Here is a 15,520-nt window from a genome sequence, read left to right as displayed (position 1 = left end):
AATGCTTCACTGCTTAGAAATTTCTTCCACCAGATACCCTAAATCATCTCCCTCAAGTTCAAAGTTCCACAAATCTGTAGGGCAGGGACAAAATGCTGCCAGTCTCTTTGCTAAACATAACAAGAGTCACCTTTACTCTAGTTGCCAACAAGTTCCTCATCTCCATCTGAGATCACCTCAGCCTGGGTTTCATTGTGCATGCATGTCATTATCAGCATTTTGGTCAAAGCCATTCAACAAGTCTCTAGGAAGTTCCAAACTTTCTCACATTTTCCTGTCTTCTTCTGAGCCCTCCAAACTGTTCCAACCTCTGCCTGCTATCCAGTTCCAAAGTCGTTTCCATATTTTTGGGTATCTTTACAGCAGTGCCCACTCCTGGTCCAATTTACTGTATTAGTTCGTTTTTACATTGCTGATAAAGACATACCCAAGACTGGGTAATTTGTAAAGAAAAAGAGGTTTAATGGACTCACAGTTCCGCATGGCTGGGGAGGCCTCATAATCATGGCAGAAGGTGAAAGGCATGTCTTACATGGTGGTGGACAAGGACAAAATCAAAGGGGTTTTCCCTCATAAAACCATCAGATCTCATGAGATATATTCTCTACCATGAGAACATTATGGGGGAAACCACCTCTGTGATTCAATTATTTCCCACCTAGTCCCTCCCACAGCACATGGGAATTATGGGAGCTACAATTCAAGATGAGATTTGGGTGGGGACACAGCTGAACCATATCAAAAATAAAAACTGTAATTAATGCCTTTTAGTTAATGTGACTTTGAGAAATGAAGAGTTTTAAAGATTATTGGTAAAATGAAGCTATTTGGTCTAAATTAGGCACGTCAGATATTAGGTTTGCTAAATGCTTTAAGGTAATAAACTGCTTTGTCTTTTGAAAATTGTTCAACTTACTTGTTTTGGAGCCATTACATTCTAGGTAAGCCCTGGGGACATGTGGAGTTAGCCATGCCTCCTGGCTATGCTGGAATAAATCAGACTTTATCTGCATTTCTTTCTGGTGTCCTAGGCTCCACACCTAGTACATAATTAAAATCACTTACCAGGTTTTTCATCAAAAATAAAAATTGCTAAGAGTTAACATTGTACCATGTAATTGAGACTACTGAAAAAACAGTTTTAAATGCAAGGTGTGTGAGGAAAGCAAAATGTGATTTTGGCAAAAGATTATAAGAAGGCAAGGGAATGTGGGTTTTTGTTTGTGCCTAAATTAAAGGATTAAAGGATTGTTTTAAGTTAGATAGGATAAGGCTGAAAGTTTGAGCAAGTTGTGGAAGGTTTATAGAACATTAATATTGTAAAAGAAATTCTGTGTGGGAACATATCAGCTAAATTTAAAGGGGTATTATTTGATTTTTCCATAAATTGAACATTGGAATAAGCACAACAGGGTTTTCTTAGAGAACTGATCTGCTCTTTAACAAAAATTTGTAAAGGGTTTTAAGAGGCTTATGAGACTCTTACCTTATGGTGAAACTGATTAGGATTAGATAGATTTGCCTATAAGGTTTTATTAAAAATTGATGTTGACATTAATAGTACACAAATGCAAGGGTGAAATTTGGCTTTCTCACACATGCACACTTATGTTTATTGCAGCACTGTTTACAATAGCAAAGACTTAGAACTAACCCAAATGCCCATCAATGATAGACTGGATAAAGAAAATGTGGCACATATACACCATGGAATACTATGCAGCCATAAAAAAGAATGAGCTTGTATCTTTTGCAGGGACATGGATGAAGCTGGAAACCATCATCCTCAGCAAACTAACAGAGGAACAGAAAACAAAACACTGCATGTTCTTACTCATAAGTGGGAGCTGAACAATGAGAACACATGGACACAGAGAGGGGAACATCACACACTGGGTCTGTTGGTGGGTGGGGAAAAAGGGGAGGGAGAACATTAGGACAAATACCTAAGGCATGCATGGCTTAAAACCTAGATGACGGGTTGATAGGTGAAGCAAACCACCAATGCACATGTATACCTATGTAACAAATCTGCATGTTCAACACATGTATCCCAGAATTTAAAATAAAAAATTAAAGAAAGAAAAGAAACTTGGCTTTTCTCTTGAGTAAGATACTTATGTATATGAAAGAATAATGAAAGTTTTTTTTTTTTTTTTTTTTGGAGATGGAGTCTTTCTTTGTCACCCAGGCTGGAGTGCAGTGGCACAATCTTGGCTCACTGCAATCTCTGCCTCCCAGGTTCAAGCAATTATCCTGCCTCAGCCTCCCGAGTAGCTGGGATTACAGGTGTGTGCACATTCAGCTAATTTTTGTATCTTAGTAGAGATGGGGTTTCACCATGTTGCCTAGGCTGGTCTTGAACTCCTTAGCTCAGGCAATCCACCCACCTCAGCCTCCCAAATTGCTGGGATTACAGGAATGAGACACCATGGCTGGCTATGAAATATTTTTGTTTGTCTTTTGAATAAACTATAGGAAAGGGAAGGGAAAGACAACAGACAGAGTTTGGGAAACTAAGTATTCCCTCTGTCAATGAGTAGAGGTTTTTGCCTTTTAAAAATTGTTGAGTTATCATTTTGGCTAAATGAATGACTTATAGTGAGCTTGATATGTTTTGGCTCTGTGTCCCCACCCAAATCTCATCTTGTGGCTCCCATAATTCCCACGTGTGGTGGGAGGGACTCGACAGGAGGTAATTGAATCATGGGGGTTGCTCTTTTCTGTGCTGTTCTTGTGGTAGTGAATAAGTCTTATGACATCTGTTGGCTTTAAAAATGGAAGTTTAATCCCAGCATTTTGGGAGACTGAGGTGGGTGGATGATGAGGTCAGGAGTATGAGACCAGCCTAGCCAAGATGGTAAAACCCCATCTCTACTAAAAATACAAAAATTGGCCGGGTGCAGTGGAGGGCACCTGTAACCCCAGCTACTCGGGAGGCTGAGGCAGGAAAATCACTTGAACCTGGGAAGCGGAGGTTGCAGTGAGCTGAGATTGTGCCACTGCACTCTAGCCTGGGCAAGAGAGCAAGACTCTGTCTCAAAAAAAAACAAAACAAAACAAAAACCACACAAAAAACAAACCAACAACAACAACAAAAAAACCCCAAAACAAAACAAAACAAAAAAAAATGGGAGCTAGCCTGCACAAGTTCTCTGTCTTTGCCTGCTGCCACCCATGTAAAATATGACTTGCTCCTCCTTGCCTTCTGCCATGATTGTGAGGCTTCCTCAGCCACATGGAACTGTGAGTTCTCCATTAACCCTCTTTCCTCTGTAAATTGCCCAGTGTCGGGTATGTCTTTATCAGCAGTGTGAAAATGGACAAATGCAGACCTGTAATTATATTTTATAACATTAAGTCTTTTAAAACTTTAACATGTTTGACAGGCTTCCCAAAATCAAATTTTAGCTTCAAAATTAAGTCTTTTTTAACCTCTAACTTTGGGATGCTACAGAGTACCCCTGAAGCATCCAAAAGAGAGGAAAACAGAATTATTTGACAAGTTACATGGGAAGCATTGTTAAAACAAGAAATAATGTCTATCTTTCTTCAGCTTATATTTTAGTGAATTTATTAATACATGTTCCCAAATCATATGGGATTTCTAAAATTCTAATATGTCTGAGTATATGCTATCAATAATAATTATGGTTATTATATTAAGATATTGTAGGCCACAGAAATTTCCTTGTCAATTTTGTCTTTATGACAATTTAAAGTAATTTCCATAGTTAATTACTTAATTCTGATGCAGTTTCTGAAAGCTTCATAAGCAGGCAAAATCCTAGAATATAGTGTCTTTTAGGAGGTTCGTGAAAGGATGAAAAGGACCCTGAAAAGCACTTTTGAATTCAGGTTTCTGATGACTTTAGAATCATATCATTTGGACTGAATAAGAATTCCTGGAACTTTAATAAAAAGACTGACTGGTTTATAAAACTGCTAATCCAAGTAGAACAAAAATTATTTGAAAACCAAGAGAATACTTTGTCAGATTTTCATGCTGGATCAGCCAATACTGAAATTGTTTAAATATACAATTTGAATGAATTCCATGGTCTAAGTCAAATTACTTATGATAACCCATCAGCTATCAGTGCTATGTCCCTAAATTGGAGAAACAACTAGTATTCAAGAAGATATAAGTCCAGTTAAGCATGGACTCATGGAGAACTGGGACGTCTGCCTTGTCCTTTCTGAGTCCTTAAAGCTTTTGTTATTAAAAGCTCTTCATTCTATGACTCATTATGGAAAAGATAAAATGATCCAAATTAAATACATATTGGTGCGGTGACTTCTAAATTGCTAAAATAGTTTATGACCAATGTTTGGTTTGTCAACCCACATCCCAGGAAGACAATCAAAACTTCAAGTACATTCTGCAACCTGATGGGCCATTTAAACATTTATAGAGAGAATTCATTCAATTGTCATTTTCAACGCATGTTTCCTGGTTGCATAAGAGCTTTCCCATGGAAGAGGGCTGATGTTATAACAGTAGATTATTATGCCACAGGTAAAGAAAGATTTTTATGAGGACAATCAACCCCTTCACAATCTAAAACCCAAAGATTGGATCTTCTGAGAATATCAGAGAAAGACTGCCCTTGCCATCCACACTGCAGCAAAACTTTGGGACTTCGAATCTCAGGTTCACAATCTCACAACTGAGACGGGTCCCTCCACACTCTTGTAGAGCCATTGGAACACTTAAGGTAAAGCCAATCAGGGAAGTTTCTCCCCAGAAGAAGATGACATCCTTGATGTGAACAGCTTTTTCCTGAGGCCATGGATCCAGACCTCTCTACTATCGTGAGACTCTTTGAATATTTTTTCCCTTGCTTATGCCTCTATGAACAACAGAAATGAAAAGAGCGGCTGGGCATGGTGGCTCATGCCTGTAATCCCAGCACTTTGGGAGGCCAAGGAGGGCAGATCACTTGAGGTCAGGAGTTCAACACTAGCCTTACCAACATGGTGAAACCCCATCTCTACTAAAAATACAAAAACTAGCCAGGTGTGGTGACACATGCCTGTAGTTGCAGCTACTCAGGAGGCTGAGGCAGGAGAATCACTTGAACCTGGGAGGCAGAGGTTGTAGCGAGCTGAGATCATGCCATTGGGTTCCAGTCTGGAATGGTGACAGAGCAAGACTCTGTCCCCCCCCCAACAAAAAAAAGAGGATCTGTTAGTATACTTTTATCTGTGAAGGATTTTGTAGTGAGCCTTATACATGGATGATATTATACCTTGATAGATGGGAGATGAAGGCTCAATGTAGGTGAGAAATTTTAATGGTACATATGTTACTTCATAATCATTCAGAAACAGAACATTGGTTCACCCCTCTTAACTTACATGATGGGTTAAAGAGAACATTGCCAGGAGGTCTTCACTCTTCTAGAAGGGCATCATTCGTTAGGTCCATTTTTCCATGGTTTGGAGTAAAAGAGGCATTGATTAGAAATGTATCCCTCATGATAGGCTCTACAGCAGATTCTACTGTAATAGATATGATTATACAACAGACTTTAAATTATTTGTGAAAGTTATGCTAAATAATAGAATTGCTTTAGATTACTTACTGGCTAAACAGAGAAATACCTGTGCAACTGCTGACACTTTGTAGCCTAATGAGAAATATCTTGTCTTGGGTATGACAGCGATTCAGTTGTAAGGGATTAATGAAGAGACTGCTTAGTTAAGCAAGTAGACTGTATATCTAGCTCATTTTTTTTTAACCTATTTGATTTTAGGAGTTGGTTTATGGGGACCCTGAGTAAAGAATATATGCCAAACTCTTGGTATTATCCTCATGATTGTCATAATAGTAGTCTCCTTGGTGCACTGTATTCTCTCAAAAGTTTTAAATGTTTGCATGCAGCCATCACTAAAATGTCAAATGGTCTTGCTTCAACTGGAATGACAAGGGCTGAAAGAAATGTGTGACCATAGGCCAGGCATGGTGGCTCATACTTGTAATCCCAGCACTTTTGGAGGCCAAGGCAGGCAGATGCCTTGAGTCCAGGAGTTTGAGACCAGCCTGGGCAACATGGCGAAACCCCATCTCTACAAAAAGTACAAAAATTAGCTGGGTGTGGTGGTGCACATCTGTAGTCCCAGCTACTCAGGAGGCAAAAGTGGGAGGATCACTTGAGCCCAGGAGGTGGAGGTTGAAATGAGCCGAGATCGCTCCACTGCACTCCAGCCTAGGTGACAGAGTAAGACCCTGTCTAAAAAAAAAAAAAAAAAAAGAAAAGAAATGTGTGACCATGAGGGCACTGTAACCTGTGAATGACATGCTGATACTGGAATCCAAAATGATGGCAACTGAGAGTTACACTAAGTTTTGGTCACCATCTCACCTAAGTGAGGACCAAATGGGGAAATTTGTAAACCAAATTATGGAAGGCCATTGTTTTGGACTGAGCTCATGCACTAGGCCCAAACAGACCAGACCAAACCAAAATGGAGTCACTTGTTCTAAATGTGACATAATCAAATTAAGATTTTAAGGAAGCACATAGATCCTAGAACAGACCAGGTTTTGTTTTTTCTCCTGTAAACAGGACGTCCCAGCATAAGGAAGTACCCTCTACCCTTAAAAAAACAACCCAAAGTCCTTGTTCTCACCTTGCAAAAACCCACTGTTCTACCATTTCCCAGTGGGTTTCAAGACCAAATAAGTACTTTTATGACGGTGATTGTGACATCAATGACTAAAGTTTCAGTAAATCTCTCAAAATTGAGAGGATGACCAAAAGGGGGAATTTGTTAAATCAAGTTTAGCCTAAAGCGGCTTCGTTACATATTTTCAGTTCGGCTTAAAGGTTTCATCATGAACTATAGCCTAAGTGGAAATGTGAACAAACTGTGGTCTACTCTTGTGCCAGTCACCAAATTTTGACCATCAAATGTGGCTAAATGTTCAAACTGTGTTCAAATAAGGCAAACGCCAAGCTATAACCAATGCAGCTGTTTCTGTACCTCAATTCCATTTTCTGTATGTCACTTTCCTTTTCCATCAGTAAATCTTCCACCACGTAGCTGCGCTGGAGTCTCTGAACCTACTCTGGCTTGGGAGGCTGCCAGTTTCGGGAACTGTTCATTGCTCAATTAAACTTTAAAAAATTTAATTCAGGCTGGGCACAGTGGCTCATGATGGGGCGGGTTGCCTCTCCACACCTGTGGGTGTTTCTCATTAGGTGGAACGAGGGACTTTGAAAAGAAAGAGACACAGAGACAAAGTATAGAGAAAGGAAAAAGGGGGCCTAGGGGACTGGTATTCAGCATTACGGAGGATTCTGCCAGCTTCTGAGTTCCTTTAGTATTTATTCATCATTCTTGGGTGTTTCTCGGAGAGGGGGATGTGGCAGGGTCATAGGATAATAGTGGAGAGCAGGTCAGCAGATAAACACGTGAACAAGGTCTCTGCATCATAGAGAAGGTAAAGAATTAAGTGCTGTGCTTTAGATATGTATACACATAAACATCTCAATGCCTTAAAGAGCAGTATTGCTGCCTGCTGTCCTACCTCCAGCCTTAAGGTGGTTTTCCTTTATCTTAGTAGATGGAATATACAATCGGGTTTTACACCAAGACATTCCATTGCCTAGGGACAGGCAGGAGACAGATGCCTTCCTCTTGTCTCAACTGCAAAGAGGCGTTCTTTCCTCTTTTACTAATCCTCCTCAGCACAGACCCTTTACGGGTGTCAGGCAGGGGGACGGTCAGGTCTTTCCTTTCTTACGAGGCCATATTTCAGACTATCACATGGGGAGAAACTTTGGACAATACCTGGCTTTCCTAGGCAGAGGCCCAAGCGGCCTTCCCCTTCCAGCCTTCCGCAGTGTTTGTGTCCTTGGGTACTTGAGATTAGGGAGTGGTGATGACTCTTTAGGAGCATGCTGCCTTCAAGCATCTGTTTAACAAAGCACATCTTGCACAGCCCTTAATCCATTTAACCTTGAGTTGACAAAGCACATGTTTCAGGGAGCACAGGGTTGGGGGTAAGGTTACAGATTAACAGCATTTTAAGGCAGAAGAATTTTTCTTAGTACAGAACAAAATGGAGTCTCTTATGTCTACTTCTTTCTACACAGACACAGTAACAATCTGATCTCTCTTTCTTTTCTCCACAGGCTCACACCTGTAATCCCAGCACTTTGGGAGGCTGAAGCGGGTGGATCACCTGAGGTCAGGTGTTCAAGACCAGCCTGGCCAACATGGTGAATCCCCATCTCTACTAAAAAATATACAAAAATTAACTGGGTGTGGTGGTGCGCACCTGTAATCTCAGCTGCTTGGGAGACTGAGGCAGGAGAATCACTTGAACCTGGGAGGTGCAGGTTGCAGAGAGCTGATATCGCATCACTGCACTTCAGCCTGGGCAGCAGAGTGAGACTCCATCTCAAAAAAAGTTTTTTTAAATTTTATTAAAAAAATTGAGATGGGGTCTTGCTATTTTGCCCAGGTTGACTCAAACTCATGGGCTCAAGCAATCTTCCCACCTCAGCCTTCAGAGTAGCTGGGATTACAGTTCTGAGCCACCATACCTGGCTCAGCAGTGGGCTTTTGAAGGAAGAGTTGTGCTTTTTCTTTCATTAACCATGCTGGACTGCATGACTGGAGGATGTATTCCTGGTTTCAGGAGTCCTCTGTGAACCTCTGTTTAGCCTTGGTTCCCCTGCGAGGCTTCCTGGACTCCAAGGTTAGCTCCTAAGAAGGGCCTTCGCAAAGCTTCACAAAGAGTTACAGGCCTACATTTATTTTGATTGCTCTAATTTTCTAGACATTTTCCTTACTCTTTATTTTGAAAATGTTCAAATCTACAGTAAAGGGTATGGAAGGCAGAATAATGGCCCCCCAAAGATGTCCACATTCTAATTTCTGAAACCTGTGGATATGTTATCTTAGATGGCAAAAGGGACTTTGCAGATGTGATTAAGTTAAGGATTTTGAGATGAGAGGAGTGTCCTGGATTATCCAGGTGGGCTCAATGTAATCACATGAGTCCTTTAAAGGCAGGCAAAGGGTCAAACAAGGGTACAGAAGGCAGGCAGAGGGTACAGAAAAGGAAATGCGATGATCAGAGCAGAGGTTAGAGTGATGTGTTTTGAAGATAGAGGAAGGAGCCATGAGCTAAGGAGTGTGGGTGGTGTTTGAATCTGGAAAAGAAAACATTCTTCCCTGAGCCCTGAGAAGAAACAGCTCTGCCAACACCTCTCAGCTCCATAAAGCTCATTTTGAATTTCTGACTTCTAGAACTTTAAAACAACAAATTTGTGTTCTAAGACACCACGTTTGTGGTAATTTGTTAAGAGCAGAATAAGAAACAAGGTCTGCAGCTTGTAGCTGCAGCGAACACCGAGAATGAAGTATTCAGACAATTCCAGCTGAGCGGGACAAGTAGCAGCTCTTCTGAGAGAGTGCTGCTTTAAGATGGGTAAGCCAAGTATTTATTGAGAGGGCTTCTTAAACTACAATTTAGACAAACGAGACATTGGCTAGGTAACGATTTGCGGTCTGGTCACGAGGCACATATAGCCTTATTTGTTACATCTAAAAGCACTCAGACCACATTCTTAGGAGGCTGTTCTCAGCCCTCCTTATCACACAACTCCTTATTACACAGTTCCTTATCACACATTCCGTTCCTTGCCCTGTTTTCAGGGTCAAGGAATTTCAGTCTCATGCGCAAACAACATACACACAGTGCCTCAGTATTTTCCCATGCCTCGACCTCAAATGCCTTGCACATAAGCTTGAATATGTTGCTGTGCACCCCCCACATCTCCCCCTTCTTTAATTCTTAGAGCATGCTGGTTATCTAATGCAAGGTAAGCTTCTATCGTTCTTTCCTGATCATAGATGCGTGGGCGGGGGGCAGCACAGAGCCATTTGCAGATGCCTAGCAAACAGATACAAAAAAGAATAGGTATAGTGGCCATCACCCAAATGTGTATGTTTAATCCAGACAACTAAGTGTTCAGGTTCAACCATTGAAAACCTTCTTGTAATTGCTGAAGGATATTTGTTTGTAATTGCTGTGATCATTCTTTTTTTTTTTTTTTTTTTTTTGAGACAGAGTCTCGCTCTGTTGCCCAGGCCGGAGTGCAGTGGCACGACCTTGGCTCACTGCAACCTCTGCCTCCTGGGTTCACGCCATTCTCCTGCCTCAGCCTCCCGAGTAGCTGGGACTACAGGCGCCCGCGACCCCGCCCGGCTAATTTTTTGTATTTTTCGTGGAGATGAGGTTTTACCGTGTTAGCCAGGATGGTCTAGATCTCCTGACCTCGTGATCTGCCCGCCTTGGCCTCCCAAAGTGCTAGGATTACAAGCATGAGCCACCGCGCCTGGCCTGCTGTGATCATTCTTTAAGTTGTTTCTTTAACTCGCACTCAAGAGTAGAAATTTGAGAGGATAAGTGGTCCTGATAAGCCCCTTGTAGGTGCGCCTTCACTCTCTCCCAAGTATATTGGGAGCTATTATATGGCAGAGGTGTGACACAGATAGAATTATATTGCCAATCACAATGTAAATTTTGACAAGTAATGAATACCTGCTGCTGATCCCCCAGCCATTCAACAGCGGCTTTAAGAGCCTCCAGGTGAGACAAAATAGTTTTATCAATATTTACTTGTTCTTGAAATCCATGGGTTACTTTGTATACCATGTGGTTTGCTACCAAGGCTGTGTGAATAGATTGTGTCAGAGAAACAGCTGTAGTAGCGGCAGTTGCTAGTATTGAGAAGTGAAGCCAGCTGGGCTTCTGGGTCCTGTTGGGACTTGGAGAACTTTTCTGTCTAGATAAAGGATTGTAAACACACCAATCAGTGCTCTGTGTCTAGCTAAAGGTTTGTAAATGTACCAATCAGCACTCTGTAAAATGGACCAATCAGCAGGAGGTGGGTGGGGCCAAATAAGGGAATAAACGCTGGCCACTAGAGCCAGCAGCCGCAACCCCATTGGGTCCTGTTCCACTGTGTGGAAGTGTTCTTTCCCTCTTCACAATACATATTGCTGCTGCTCACTCTTTGGGTCCACACTATCTTTATTAGCTGTAACACTCACCACGAGGGTCTGCGGCTTCACTCCTGAGGTCAGTGAGACCACGAACCCACCGGGAGGAACAGACAACTCGATGTGCCACCTTTAAGAGCTGTAACACTCACTGTGAAGGTCTGCAGCTTCACTCCTGAAGTTAGCCAGACCACGAACCCAACGGAAGGAAGAAACTCCGAACACATCTGAACATCTGAAGGGATAAACTCTGGACACACCATCTTTAAGAACTGTAGCACTCACTACGAGGGTCTGTGGCTTCACTCCTGAAGTCAGCGAGACCAAGAACCCACCAGAAGGAAACAGTTCCGGACACAGTATAATAATAGCTGAGACAAAAAAGGCAATTAAAGTGGCCAAAAATCTTTTTTTTGAGTATGAGATAGTGCTTTTCTAAATAACCGTAGGGTTAAATTTACAGGGAGCCACAATTCTACATGCCATTTTAGGATCATGCCATAGGTTATATTTAACTATGTAACATTTTGATGAGACAAGCATGTAGCGTACCAACTACTGGAAGAGAAAGTAATACTATATAAGGATTGATTCTGTTCTATGTTAGGAATACCCTGCCCAGACAAAATTATCTAGGGGTGTGTAGTACAAATCAGGACTGTATCAGTAACATTATTGTGCAAGGAGAGGGTATAGTTGCCACTGCTGTAAATGTAATCACCATACAAAACAACGCATTCAAAAAAGGGAAGACCTAGTCTCCAAATTTGGGTATGAGCAGGGCTTAAAGCTTGCTTCCCTTTTAGTTGTAATATTGGTCCTGAAAGCCCATACTCTGACCAGGTGATGGAACTATTGGAGGACTCCCAAATCCAATAGTCTGATTTGCAGACATAAGATTAGCATGGGGACCCCAATCAAGTAAGGTGCCATTATTAAGCAGAGGCCCTTGTCGTGGCGCAGGTTGTCTGCATGGGGTTCACACTGGACAGCCTCAAACTTACATTGCCAGTCCCTTCTCAGACAGCATATAAGAAGACTAGGCACTTGTGTAGCTTCATTAGAGACCTTAGTGAGATTAATGGTAACAGCAGAAATAAAGGTCAAGTTTGCGGGCTTGGCATCCCTTTTGAGGTGACAGTAAAGATACTCCAGAGGAATAAGAGTAATGTGCTTATCATGGGCTATTGTAGAAAAACAAAGAAGGGGGTTGCTAGACAATAAAGTCAAGGAGTCATTGAGTTTAATCCATCCCAAATTTTCAGTTAAGGGGTAAGACAGGGGCATCCATCGACCTCCCATCCAAGAAGTATCATTAGATGACAAAGGCGGGTCAGCATCCCACCACATAATAACATTTCCAACAGTGGGATTCAGAATATGATTCCAGTAAACATGTTCTTGAGCTGATCCCACTTGGCAAAGGATGAGAATCACCAGCCACCCCAGCATCCATGTCTGTCTTACTTTCTCAAAAGCTCCCCCAATTACTGCCAGATACATAAGAAACCAATTCTCTGCAATTGCAGGGGCTCCCATGGCAACAAGCTGGATAGTTGCCTGTTGATCCAATTTCTTTAGCTGCCCTCAGGTAATGTCAGATGCCTTCCGAGTCATCGCTATCATTGCTGGTCGATTCTCCAACGACAGGTCTTTCATCATCAGGAGGGGTTCAGTTGTCTCCTACCTGTTCTCGAGGAGAAAGCCCAATATTCCCCCTTTTTTGTTTGTTAAGATATACTTTAAGAGTTTGATGAGCTCGCTCAACATTGGCCTGACTGGTTGAGTTATAAGGAATGCCAGTCTTGTGTTGTATGTGCCACAGTTGTAAATGCATATGTAAATCGAGCACTAAGACAGCAATGTCTATTATCAGTTTTTGTAATTTGTGGAAGGCCTAAAGTCATAATAGATTTAAAAAGATGAGCAATTGCATCTTTAGTTTTTTCTGTAGTCTGAGGAGTAGCATATTTCAGGCCTGTATAAGTGTCTACAGTAACGTGGAGAAATTTGAAGCATCTAAAGGGTGGATGCTGAGTAATATCAGTTTGCCAGATAGCATTAGGCACCAGACCTCGTGGGTTGGCACCAAGTCCTAACGAAAAAGGGGAGAGCGAATGCCATTGGCAGTCAGGACAGGTTTTAATAATCATGCGAGCTTGAGTGAGCGCCAAATAAAACTGTTGTTTAAGACTGTGGTTGTTCTGATAAAAAAAGGAATGATCAGCTTGAGCTTGCAAAAATGTAGGAGATTCTGTAAACCACGGAGCTTAGTGTTAATATGTGACTTTAGACAACAATGTTTTTATATTTTAGGAAGCTTGAAGCTAACAATATATTAAGACAATGATCTCTTTATAATTTACAATAAATAAAGTGAAAGTTTGTATTTTATATTGTTTAAAACATAAGAAGATTTTATTTGAAAAGACTTTTAAAAAAATATGAAGGCTTTCTCTTAGGGTAAGAATTATGTAATTATGTTGCCCAAGTAATACAGTGATGGAAACAAGACAATATTTTATCTTTCTTTTCTTCAGTTGAATGCTAATAGACAATAGTTTTTTGCTTAGCTAGGAGCTTAAATACTGTTTGGGAGAAGTGGGATATTTATTAGTGGGTTGCAGGGAATAAATGAAATCACCTTAGTAGAGGATGCTGCTATACTTTTATCAATGTCCACTGACATTGGTTTGAAAGTGGAAATCTTTTGTGTAAAGGCCTGGGGATTTTTTGCCTATATCTTAAGTATATCTCTGGGCTGGCAGCCCCTTAATATACTCAGAAAAGTAAAATATAGGTTACAAGATACTTTAAAAATTTATTTTGACTAGTGAGTTTGTTTCTAGTTGATTCACCTAATTAGAGATGTTACAAATCATTTTATATGATTGAACACATGTGAGTGTTGTTTTCCTGGAGACTGGGTTTCATTACAAGCATTCTGATTTGGGCCCCATTGAAGTTTTTCTTTCTCTAGCCCTTCTAAACTAAGCTTTTTAGAACTCACTCACAAGTTGTATGAATTTTGACAGACTTTTATTTTATCTTCTGATTTATTCCGTGTGCAGTGGATTTGAATAGCAGAGTTTTTTTATAGCTCTGCTGATGTGATGTTGGTCACTACGTGCAGCTTGCAATCAGTTGATAAATTCAACGTATGTTTCTGTGGCACTCTGTTTAACTGTTATAAAGGAATGTTTCTGTGGCACTCTGTTTAACTGTTATAAAGGAACCCTGGGATTGTCCCGTGGGTATCCTCTTCTATGCCTGTATTGCTAGCTGCAAGCATTGTGGAAATAGATGGCTGTTTATTTGAGCTTGAGCCTGAGCTCAAGCAAAAGGACCTGGTCCCAATAGCATATCAAGCTGTGTTGGGATATTATTATCCAAATTTTGCAAGGGCTGCTGCATGGATAGATCACTGTACTCACTCCACCGCACAGTATATTCTGCAGCTGAAACCAAAACTTTTACTAAAGTTTTCCAATCATGCGGAGTCATCTTATAGCCATTTCCCAGAGCCTCAATCATCCCCTGGGTAAAGGGTGAATGTACACCATTTTCACAGATACTTTTCTTTATCTCTTTAAAAACAGTAAAAGGCAAACTCTCATGCCGTCTCCTATCATTTTGAACAATGACAGGGAATGCGCCAAAAAGTGCCTAAGAGTCTCCCTTTTTAAGTCCCTCCTGGAGGCACCCCTCTACTAGGGAAGTTTGATGAGGAGTCGTCACTGAGAACGCGTTCACCTGATCATATATGTCAGGCCTCTGAGCCCAAGCTAAGCCAACATATCCCCTGTGACCTGCACGTATACATCCAGATGGCCTGAAGCAACTGAAGATCCACAAAAGAAGTGAAAATAGGCTAAACTGATGGCATTCCACCATTGTGATTTGTTCCTGCCCCACCCTAACTGATATGATATATTCTCCCCTGCCCTTAGGAAGGTACTTTGTAATATTCTCCCCGCCCTTGGGAATGTACTTTGTATGCCTATCCCAAACCTATAAGAACTAATGATAATCCCACCACCTTTTGCTGACTCTCTTTTCAGACTCAGCCCGCCTGCACCCAGGTGATTAAAAAGCTTTATTGCTCACATAAGCCTGTTTGGTGGTCTCTTCACACGGACGTGCGTGACAATATAGATGTTCACTGACAGGGGGTCTTATCCAAGAACCGTCCATCCCTTGGGTGGCCTCCAATCTCCTCCAGGGGGATGGGAGGCACTGTAGCCTGAACAGGGCCAATAGATGTGGATTTTTTTAGGGGTGGAGGAAAGGAGGGCAATGGCTTTTCTATTGGGGGAGGAAAAAGCTCCGGTCTGTCCTCATCATCACTAGAAAGTGTCCTCCTTATGCCCTACGGAAGGGAATGAAGTAGGGAGAGGAGCCCCTCCCTGTTGTTCTGGTTCCTGTTTTTCTTTAAATCTCCTGAATTCCCTTCAGGTGGAGCTAATGGGCAGTCTGACTCACCGCAATCTGGCAT

At 41.5% G+C, this 15,520-nt stretch overlaps 3 annotated features.

Moving 5' to 3' along the window:
- Window positions 7,234–7,888: an enhancer, noted in NCBI's record as "NANOG-H3K27ac hESC enhancer chr1:160883187-160883841 (GRCh37/hg19 assembly coordinates)". NCBI's record gives its function as "activates a minimal SCP1, AML or CMV promoter by ChIP-STARR-seq in naive H9 embryonic stem cells {active_cell/tissue: H9 hESC(naive)}" and the evidence as "EXISTENCE:reporter gene assay evidence [ECO:0000049][PMID:30033119]".
- Window positions 7,889–8,543: an enhancer, noted in NCBI's record as "NANOG-H3K27ac hESC enhancer chr1:160882532-160883186 (GRCh37/hg19 assembly coordinates)". NCBI's record gives its function as "activates a minimal SCP1, AML or CMV promoter by ChIP-STARR-seq in naive H9 embryonic stem cells {active_cell/tissue: H9 hESC(naive)}" and the evidence as "EXISTENCE:reporter gene assay evidence [ECO:0000049][PMID:30033119]".
- Window positions 9,512–9,806: a silencer, noted in NCBI's record as "tiled region #12849; HepG2 Repressive non-DNase unmatched - State 24:Quies". NCBI's record gives its function as "represses a minimal TATA promoter and a strong SV40 promoter by Sharpr-MPRA in HepG2 cells {active_cell/tissue: HepG2}" and the evidence as "EXISTENCE:reporter gene assay evidence [ECO:0000049][PMID:27701403]".

Source organism: Homo sapiens, chromosome 1, assembly GCF_000001405.40.
Source record: "Homo sapiens chromosome 1, GRCh38.p14 Primary Assembly".
Classification (NCBI taxonomy): domain Eukaryota; kingdom Metazoa; phylum Chordata; class Mammalia; order Primates; family Hominidae; genus Homo; species Homo sapiens.
The sequence above is the reverse complement of the archived record's forward strand: the minus strand, read 5'-3'. Positions and strand labels throughout refer to the sequence as shown.